Source organism: Homo sapiens, chromosome 2 (genome assembly GCF_000001405.40).
Source record: "Homo sapiens chromosome 2, GRCh38.p14 Primary Assembly".
NCBI lineage: Eukaryota > Metazoa > Chordata > Mammalia > Primates > Hominidae > Homo > Homo sapiens.
In genome coordinates this window covers 202609322-202619896 of record NC_000002.12, presented here as the reverse complement: position 1 = coordinate 202619896, position 10575 = coordinate 202609322, and the positions used below count along the sequence as shown (strand labels likewise).

Below are 10575 nucleotides of genomic sequence, written 5' to 3'. Positions count from 1 at the left end.
ATGTTCATCAATCGTTGATTGTTTTCAACTAACCACAAAGTCACCGGAACACTATACCTGCTATTCGGCGCAAGAGCGGAGATAATAGGCACCGCCTTAAGCTTCCTAATTCAAGCAGGACTAGACCAACCAGAAACTCTACTAGGAGATGATCAGATGTACAATGTTATTGTTACTGCCCACGCGTTCGTTTTCATCTTCTTTATGGTGATACCAATCATAATTGGGGGTTTCGGGAACTGGCTAGTCCCTCTGATAACTGGTGCACCCGATATGGCATTCCCCCGGATAAATAATATGAGCTTCTGACTTCTCCCTCTATCTTTTCTGCTCCCTACTTGCATCCTCAATAGTAGAAGCCGGCGCTGGAACCGGCTGGACGGTTTATCCCCCTTTAAGAGGAAACCTAGCACATGCAGGAGCCTCTGTGGACCTGACCATCTTCTCGCTCCACTTGGCAGGTGCCTCTTCTATTTTAGGAGCCATTAACTTTATTACCACTATTATTAACATAAAACCCCCAGCTATGTCCCAGTATCAAACACCCCTTTTCGTCTGATCAGTCCTCATTATGGCAGTCCTTCTACTCCTTTCTCTTCCAGTCCTAGCCGCCGGGATTACTATACTATTAACTGACCGTAACCTCAACACTAATTTTTTTGAGCCTGCTGGCGGGGGTGACCCTATCTTGTACCAGCATTTATTCTGGTATAAAACTACCTTCCACCCCTACCGTATAACCAAAGATATTTTAGGTTTAATTTTTCTCCTCCTCCTTCTAATAACTCTAGTACTATTTTCACCTGACCTCCTGGGCGACCCAGGTATTTACGCTTTAGCCAACCCCTTCAACACCCCACCACACATTAAGCCAGAGCGGTACTTTTTGTTTGCCTACGCAATCTTACAATCCACATGACATGGTTCTCTAAAAATTCTATAATTTGAATCAACATGGTTATCCACAGCCTACTTATCGGTCTCATCAGCCTACTATATTTTAACCAATTCAACGATAAATAAGGTTGTTGGATCAGGTGGTTAATAGCCCTTGGGTAGTAAGTATTATTACTAGCATATTTAGTGAACCTGAGGTATTTTAAGTATGAACAAATGCTACAGGTAGAGGAAGGGATCCTACTAGTGTGTAAAATAAGAAGTATGAGCTTGCATTAAGGCATTCTGGTTGGTTGCCTCAGCGGGTGATGATAATTACGGTAGGAACTAGCGTGGCTTCAAAGAGGATATAAAACATAGTTAGTTCTGTGGCTGTGAATGTTAGGATTTTAAAAGTCTGTAGGGGCCGGGCACGGTGGCTCACCCCTGTAATCCCAGCACTTCGGGAGGCCGAGGCGGGTGGATCAAGAGGTCAGGAGATCGAGACTATCCTGGCTAACATGGTGAAACCCCGCCTCTACTAAAAATACAGAAAATTAGCCGGGCGCCATGGCAGGTGCCTGTAGTCCCAGCTACTCGGGAGGCTGAGGCAGGAGAATGGCGTGAACCCGGGAAGTGGAGCTTGCAGTGAGCCGAGATCGCGCCACTGCACTCTGTCTGCCTGGGCGACAGAGCGAAACTCTGTCTCAAAAAAAAAAAAAAAAAAGGCTGTAGGGAGATCAATATAAAAATATAGAGCTTTTTTCATGGGAGTGATTCATTGGACAGGTGATATTGGCTTGCTAGACTTATAAGAGGCAGTAGTCAGGCTGTTAAGATTAGAAGGGGTGATGTCAGCTGGTCAGAAGAGAAAACTAATGAGAAGTTGGATGAGTTATCATTGAATTGGTTAAAAAATAGTAGGCTGATGAGGCTGATGAGTAGGCTGTGGATAACCATCTTGATTCAGATTATAGAATTTTTAGAGAACCATGCCATTGGTAACAGTATAATTGCTGGAATAATAATTTTTAGCATTGAAGTAAATTTAGATTTTGTACATAATCTAGACCATATGTACTGGAGATTGAAACTAGTAAGGCAAGGCCCACTGCAGCTTCACAGGCAGCAAATACTAGGAGAATAATGGGTATTATCGATGCTAGAGTGAAATGTATATTTAAAGTTATGAGTATTTATGATAAATACTGATAGTATTATGCCTTCTAGGCATAATAGGTATGATATTAGGTGGGATCGATAGATGAATACTCCTAGCAGTGGTATGGTATATGCTAATATAATATTGATATAAATCGCAGGGATTTGGTAAATATGGTCTACCATAATCTAATGAGTCAAAATCATTTATTTTGACTTAAACTATTTACAATTCAACACAGTCTAATCCTTTTTAGGCTCATTCATAAATCAAGCCTAGGATTAAAATGGTAACTAGTATAAGGGCTGTGCTGATCATTAGTGTCAGGTTGGTTGTTTGAAGGGCTCATGGCAGGGGTAGTAGTAGAGCGATCTCTGAGTCGAAGAGGAGGAATGTGATGGCTACTAGGAAGAATGTAATGGAAAAGGGGAGGCAGGCGGAGGCTAGGGGTCAAATCCGCATTCATAGGGGCTGGATTTTTCTATATAGATATTAAGCTGTGGAAGCCAAAATGCGATTATTATTAGTAATAGGGCCAGTAAGGTGTCGGTTACTAGGGCTAGTGTCAGGTTGATTACTCTCTTTTGGATATTATGGAAACTAATTGATTGGAAGTCAATGGTACTGTTTATACTAAAAGAGTAGGACCCTCATCAATAGATAGAGACATATAAGAATAGTCATACTACATCTACAAAGTGTCAATATCCGGCGGCAACTTCAAAGGCAAAGTGGTGATTGGATGTAGAGTGGAATTTTAATTGGTGGAGGAGGCAGATAGTGAGAAATGTTGATCCAATAATAACATGAAATCCATGAAAGCCTGTGGCTGTAAAGAATGTTGAGCTGTAGATTCCATCAGAGATAGTAAAGGGGGCCTGGAAATATTCTGAGGCTTGTAGAAGGGTAAATACCTAAGGTAATTGTGATTGATAGTGCTTGAAGTATCTGCTTTCGACTACCTTCTATCAGGCAGTGGAGTGCAAGTAATCGAAAATCCTGATGTAAGTAATACAGATGTATTCAGGAGGGGGACTTCTAAGGGGTTGAGGGGAGGAATACCTGTTGGGGGTCAGTGTCCCCTTAATTCTGGAATTGGGACTAGACTAGAGTGGTAGAATACCCAGAAGAAACCAGCAAAAAATACTTCTCAGATAATAATAGAATTATTCCATATCAGAGGCCTTTTTGGACGATTGATGTGTGGTGGCCTTGAAATGTAATTTCTCAGATAATGTCACATCATCACTGGTATATAGTTAGTGTGTGGGTTTGTAGGCCCAGGGTTAAAAGGGTGATAGAGTTAAAATGAAATCACATGGCCAGGCCAGATGTTATTAGGAGAGATGAGAGAGCTCCTGTTAGTGGTCAGGGGCTGGGTTTGACTATATGGTAGGCATGTGTATAGTGGGTCATTATGTGTTGTTGTACAGGTAAAGGTTTACTAGCAGTGTTAAGACGTAGGCTGAATGAGGGCTACGGCGAATTCGAGGATGGTTAGTAGGATTAGAATAATGACAGCGATTGAAGCTGTGGGAAGACTGATAGTTGACAGAACTAGTGTGGCTCCTCCGATTAAATGTATTAGCAGGTTTCCAGCTGTAATGTTGGCTGTTAATCGCACAGCTGGTGCCATTGGTTAAATGAATAGGCTAATAGTTTCAATGATCACTAGCATAGGGATAAGTGGTATAGGTGTGCCTTGTGGTAAAAAGTGAGCTAAGGAGGTTTTTGTCTTGAAGCAGAAGGCTGTAATGACTGTGCCTGCTCATAAGGGGATTGCTATACCTAGGTTTATTGATAATTGGGTAGTTGGTATAAATGAATGGGGTAGAAGCCCAAGGAGATTGGTTGAGGCAATGAAGAGAATTAGGGAGATCAGTATAAGGGATCAGGTTCATCCTTTAATATTATGGGTTATTATTATTTGTTTTAGTACAAGTTGAATTAGTCACTGTTGAATGGAAATCAATCAGTTACTGATTAGATGACTGGAGGTTGGAAATAGTACAGGGGAAAATAAAATGATTAATACTACTGCAGGTAGACCTAGAATTGTCGGGGTAGTAAGAGGTGAATAGATTTTCGTTCTTTTTAATTCTCGGGGGCTTTATGTTTTTGGGTTTTGATTGTTTTTGGTATAGGGGCTGTATAATAAATGAAATTTGATAATTTTAACTGAATAATGGAGCATAAAGTTACGATTATTGACAGGATGACAATGGATCATGTGGAAGTATCTAGTTTAGGCATTCACTGCAAATAGGTGCAGATCCCCTCCATCTTTAACTTAAAAGGTTAATGCTAGATAGCTTTACAGTGATATTATAGTGCAGACGTGGATCAGGTTTCAAAGCATTTTAAGGGGGTTAATTCTAGGACAATAAGTATAAAACTGTGGTTAGACCCACAAATTTCTGAGCACTGTCCATAGTAAAGGCCTGGACATGTAGCAGTTAAGGTAGTTTAATTTAAGCGTCCGGGGATTCCATCTGTTTTGAGGCCCAGTAAGGGGATAGTTCATGAATGCAGGATGTCTTCGGATGAGATTAATATATGGACAGGGATCTCTGTTGGGAGAATTGTTCAGTTATCAACTTCAAGGAGTCGAAGTTCTGGCTTTAAGTCTGCTGTTGGAATCATATAAGAATCAAAGCCTAACTCTTCATAGTCTGTATATTTAGAGCTTCAATATCACTGGTGGCCAACTGCTTTGACAGTAAGAGAAGGATTGTTAACCTTGTCTATTATGTGCACAATACGTAGGGATGGGAGGGCAATTAAAATTAAGATAATGGCAGGTAAAACAGTTCACACAGTTTCGATTTCTTGAGCATCTATGGTGCCAGTATGAGTTAATTTTGTTGTGAGTATTAGGGAAATGATGTCTAGGACCAGGGAACTAATTAGGAAAATAATTATAAGAGCATGGTCATGGAAAGTGAGTAGTTCTTCTATAATAGGGGATGTGGTGTCTTGAAGGCCTAATTGAACTGGATAAGCCATTAAGACATATAGGATTTAACCTATAAATTCGCTCTGACAAAGTTATGTAATAATTTTACTAACATCTTATCAAGAGAGTCATAGAAGTTATGGGATTGGCTTGAAACCAATTTCTGGAAGTTCAATTCCTTCCTTTCTTGTTTAGGCTTTCACGAAAGTTGGCTCTCCAAATGTGCAGTAGGGTGGTGGACATCTGTAAAGCCACTCTAAATTAGTAGATGGTTATTCAATTGTCAGTACTTTTCATTTTGAAGGAAAGGCTTCTCAGATTATAAATATTATTAGTATAACTGCTGTTAGTGAGATAAATGAGCCTATGGATGAGATAATATTTCACATGGTGTGCACATCAGGATAATCGGAGTAACATCGAGGCATACTGGATAGACCAAGGAAGTGCTGTGGAAAAAAGTTAAATTAACACCTATAAATAAAATGGTGAAGTGGATTTTAGCATAGGTCTGATTAAGTGTGTAGCTTGAAAATAGGGGGGAATCAGTGGACAAAGCCTCCTATGATGGCAAATACCGCGCCTATTGATAGGACATAGTGGAAATGGCCTACAACATAATATGTGTCGTGTAAGACAATATCTAGTGATGAATTAGCTAGTACGATGCCGGTTAAACCTCCCACTGTGAAATTTTTTGAAACATTGCATGTTTGCAAATGTCTTTGTTCTACCCTTACACTTAATTGACAATTTGGCTTGAAAATAATATTTCCAGCAGGGCATGGTGGCTCACACCTGTAATCCCAGGACTTTGGGAGGTTGAGGCAGGCGGATCATCTGAGGTCAGGAGTTCAAGACCAGCCTGACCAACATGGAGAAACCCCGTCCCTACTAAAAATACAAAATTATCTGGGCATGGTGGCACATGCCTGTAATACCAGCTACTCGGGAGGCTGAGGCAGGAGAATTGCTTGAACCCAGGAGGCAGAGGTTGTGGTGAGCTGAGGTGGCACCATTGCACTCCAGCCTGGGCAACAAGAGCGAAACTCCGTCTCAAAAAGAAAAGAAAAGGGAAGGGAAGGGAAGGGGAGGGGAGGGGAGGGGAGGGGAAGGGAGGGGAGGGGAGGGAGAAAAGAAAAAAGAAAAGAAAAGAAAAGAAAAGAAAAGAAAAGAAAATTTCCTCAGAAATTTGAAGACATTGCTCCATTGTCATACTGCATTCAGTGCTGCTGATGATCAATCCAATGCCATTCTGGTTTTTGATCCTTTACATATGAGCTCTTCTTTCCGCTCTGCAAGCTTTTAGGATCTTTTCTTGGTTAATATTTTTCTGAAATTTCATTATGTTCTGCCTCGTGCAAGGCTTTTTTTTTTTTTTTAATTCCCTAGGATGGACACCAGATGTTTTTCAGATGGGAAAATGTTATTGTACTATTCTTTGATAATTTAGTTCTTTCCCATACTAGACCTACCCTACCCTGAGAGGATGACTATAGACTATATGAACTATAGACTCTCACCCAGTCTTCCTTCTGGTTAGGTCTGGCCAATATCAGATCAGATCACAGGAAGAGAGAGAGGTCAGAATATTTCTCCTGTATACTCAAATTATTATCTCCGTATACTCAAATAATACTTGTCCTCTGGTAGATTTCACTTTGGAGTCATCGAGCGGGATCCACTTGCTTCATTGTAGGATTCCCGAATGTGCTTTCTTGTCTTGTTGTTGTTGCAGAGCCCCATCTCTCAGGCACGAGCTATACCTATCACTGGAAGGTCCTTCCTCCTTGGCTCTAGTTCTTATTGGACCCCATTTACACGGCCTCCTCCCCTTGCACTTTCAGCCCTGGGAGTGTAATAGCTTCTCACTGCTGCTGGTCCCTGGACACTATACCACCTTTGTTTGTCCCCTTAATCCTTGCTGCTCACACTCCCGTAAATAGTCCTTTCATAAAAATCTCTTTATCCCAACCATGTGCTAATGTGCTGAATTAGGCTTGCTGTTGGGACTCTGATACGATATTTCTCTCTCTCTTTTTAGAGATAGTGTCTTGCTCTGTCATCATAACTCACTGCAGCCTCAACTCCTGGGCTTGAGTGATCCTCCTGCCTCAGCCTCCTACGTAGCTGGGACTACAGATGTGAGCCACCACGCCTGGCTAACTTTAAATTTTTTTTTTTTTTTTAATATTGACACATCTTGCTATGTTGCCCAGGCTGGTCTCGAACTCCTGGGCTCAAGCAATTCTCCTGCCTCAGCCTCCCAAAGTGCTGGGATTACAGGCTGATCCTTTAACTTTGTCCTCTATTTTCCATCTATATGTCATCTCTTGAATTTACCTTCTGGGAAATTTCCTCGTCTTCATCTTCCACACTGTCTATGAATTTCTCATTTCAGCAATCATATTTTTCATTTCCAAGAGCTCCCATTATTCATTTTCTTTCTAATTTTGTATTGTGGTCAAATACACACAACATAAACTTGACTGTCTTAACTATTTTAAGTATATATTTCAGTGGCATGAAGTACATTAATACTATTGTGCAACCATCACCCATCTTCAGAACTCTGCCTCTTGCAAAATTGAAACTCTTTCTCCATTAAACAATAACTCCCCACTCCCCATTCCCCCAGCCCTTGGCAACCACCATTCTTTCTCTTTCTCTACCTCATATAAGTGGAATCATATAGAATTTGTCTACAGATAATTCTTTCTTATCATAGCATTCCATTGTTGTTTATGTTTCATAATTTATTTCTCTTCCTGCATTGTCTTTGTTTACTCTAAATTCCATTGTTTTAGTGTCTGATTTCATGATGGAGGCATTCCTCAGATGTCAAGTGACTTTCACGTAATAGTTTATTATTACCTCCGTATACTCAAATAATACTTGTCCTCTTGTAGATTTCACTTTGAAGTCATCAAGTGGGATCCACTTGCCTCATTGTAGGACTCCCGAATGTGCTTTCTTGTGCTGTTGATTTTTTTCCAGAAGAGAATTTGCCAGTCTCTTGCCTAGCATTCTTGGAGCCAAGTGCAGGAATTAGCCTGAGCACTTCAAGTTCAGAATGGACTTTCGTTTAATGGGAATATTTGTCCGGAAGAAATTCCTTGAAGTGAAATTGTGATACCCAAGGGTATGCATTTTAAAATTTAATGGATTCCAATGCAATTTTGGAAGCATCCAAAGAAAAAGGCTTGTTTTTTGTTTTGTTTCTTTTAGAGACAGGGTCTTGCTCCCAGACTGGAATGCAGTGGTGTGACCTTGGCTCACTGCAGCCTCAACCTCCTGGGCTCAAGCAATCCTCCCATCTCAGTTTCCCAAGTAGCTGGGACCACAGGCACATACAACCATGCCCAGATAAGTTTTGTGGGTTTTTTGTAGAGACGGGGGTCTTGTTTTGTTGCCCAGGCTGGTCTTGAACTCCTGGGCTCAGGCCATTCTCCCGCCTTGGCATCCCAAAGTGCTGGTATTACAGGTGTAAGCCACCAAGGCCAGCCCAAAGAAAAAAGTTTAGTATAGTTAAAAAGAACCAAGAAACACATTTTTTAAGCTTTCTATGTCAGCAGAATTTAATGAAGTGCTTTCCTTATGGAATTAATGTTCCAAGAGGTAAAACAGACTGAAAGCAATCCTGTTTTTCCATGGGTCCTACTTGGCTTGAGAATCAGTGCTAACATAGGCTATTTGAAAGACTAAACTTCTCTCATCTTTCTAGAAAACAAAATTAGATTACTTTAAAAACCATTTGATCGGTCTTACAGTAGAGACAAAAAATGGAAACCTATGAAGAGGTGCTTGGTCTTATCTATCTATAAGGACCAAAGGAAGTAGCAGCTAAAAAAAAAAAATTGCTAAAACCATATGATCTTTGGTAACTGATATTTAAGTTTATGACAACTGTTTGCAGAAAATCCCAGGGTGGTGATTGTCCTATAGGTTGCCTACCTCTTTCTGGGTTATAACTGGATTATAACCCTAACCATTCCCATAACCTATATGTCACAAAACATGAAGATTAGTGATTTCCAGAGTACCTAAATCCTATCCACGTCACAACCGACTTATAGGATCTAGCTCTACGCTAATCTAAGTAGGTTTTCCTTTTTTTTAAAAGTGCTGATTATCTTACCCCATAAGGTTACTCCAAATTTTGTCCTAAATTCCTCACTACGTAGCAGATAGTAAGACATGCTTTATAAACTCCTCTCCAGAGAGGCCAAGCCTCAGCCAGAAATAGACATTTCCCTTCCAAGATGATTGAAAGGAAGTCTTTAAGTTCTCAGTCTCTATGGTGACAGCTTGATGGAGATAGTTGAGGACTCGTACATGAAATATGCCTTGCCCTTTCAAATTCTGTAACAACTGCTCAACATGAGCTCACAGACACCACTCATTGCTGTGTGATAGCAATCACTTTACCACTGCTGAACTGGAGCTGCGATTTCTTAATAGCGGGGAAGCTGAATGTAGAAAAATACATCCAAACGACATTGTATCTAATTCATTCCTTTTCTCCTATTCTTTACTCTGAAGATATAGTTGAATTTTGCTTGAAGAAATGTAGTTAAATGCTGCATATTGGCAAATGTACAGCCCAAACATTGGTTTATAGTCCACAAAATTTGATCTTCTACTATTTGCAAGATACTGTGTTCTTTACAGATGTTCTACTATTGTCAATAAATATTTGTGAGTGAATGGTTTTAAGAGCACTAATGTTACCAAAGATTACTGCTATCTTTTCTCAATATCACTTAGCCAGGCCCAGAATACACAATGAATTCAAAGGGCAGAGTGCCATGTCACTCCTTCCTGTTACACACAGTGGGGTGTAGCTTTGCCCTCACTTATATAGTCCTTGGTCAGTTGACAAAACTAACTGAGCCACGGTACCAAGCAGAATGACTTAGGCAGCCAACATATGAAAAAACTTAACCACTTACCCCTCCCATGTAGTGAAAAGATACTTGACTCCTCCCATGTAGCGAAAACACAGGCCTGCCCAGACTTGGTATTTAGAAAACTAAAATAAGACTCTTTGTTTGACTCAGCTCCTAAGTAGTCATTACATATGGGGCACAAAGACCTCTTCTTGAAGATCTCTCTAGGAGAAAAGAGCTGCAGTGGACTAGTGGCTCCCTGACCTATGAATAAGGACAATCATCTATTATGTTACTGGTTTTTTGTGTTTTCTTTAAAGCACAGTCCTTTCAAAATCTCTACTAACTTGATTTTAAGTACGTACAGTTCTGAGGGAGAGTTGCAGCATAGATTACTTCTCAATATATGCATGGTCTAGTAATAGTGAGGATGAAAAGAGGAAACCAAAAGGGAAGTTAAATTCATGCACAATGTATAAGTTACTAATAAAATGGCAATCCCATACTCTCTTGTCCACAACCCAAGAGGGTCTACACTAACCAGAGTCTTGGTTTCCTTTCCTTTCCCTCCCTTCTGACATGATTTTCCTTCAAGGACTTCTGATTGGAAAATAACCTCAACCCAAACTTCCCCTTCTTATTCTGGCAATTAGAGTTACTATCCTGGTAGGACTTCAGGTTCTTAGAAATAG

The 10575-nt window shown here is 40.4% G+C and overlaps 8 pseudogenes, besides 1 other annotated feature; 1 reads left to right on the top strand and 7 right to left on the bottom strand.

Annotated features, from left to right (window-relative positions):
* On the top strand, nucleotides 1–712 carry MTCO1P54 (MT-CO1 pseudogene 54; annotated as a pseudogene).
* MTND4P30 (MT-ND4 pseudogene 30) lies at nucleotides 1046–1300 on the bottom strand (annotated as a pseudogene).
* Nucleotides 1910–2202, bottom strand: MTND4LP17 (MT-ND4L pseudogene 17; annotated as a pseudogene).
* On the bottom strand, nucleotides 2270–2613 carry MTND3P17 (MT-ND3 pseudogene 17; annotated as a pseudogene).
* On the bottom strand, nucleotides 2685–3197 carry MTCO3P17 (MT-CO3 pseudogene 17; annotated as a pseudogene).
* Nucleotides 3457–4128, bottom strand: MTATP6P17 (MT-ATP6 pseudogene 17; annotated as a pseudogene).
* On the bottom strand, nucleotides 4368–5044 carry MTCO2P17 (MT-CO2 pseudogene 17; annotated as a pseudogene).
* MTCO1P17 (MT-CO1 pseudogene 17) lies at nucleotides 5193–5683 on the bottom strand (annotated as a pseudogene).
* Nucleotides 9952–10191: an enhancer, noted in NCBI's record as "active region_17002". NCBI's record gives its function as "activates an Ori minimal core promoter by ATAC-STARR-seq in GM12878 lymphoblastoid cells {active_cell/tissue: GM12878}" and the evidence as "EXISTENCE:reporter gene assay evidence [ECO:0000049][PMID:35858748]".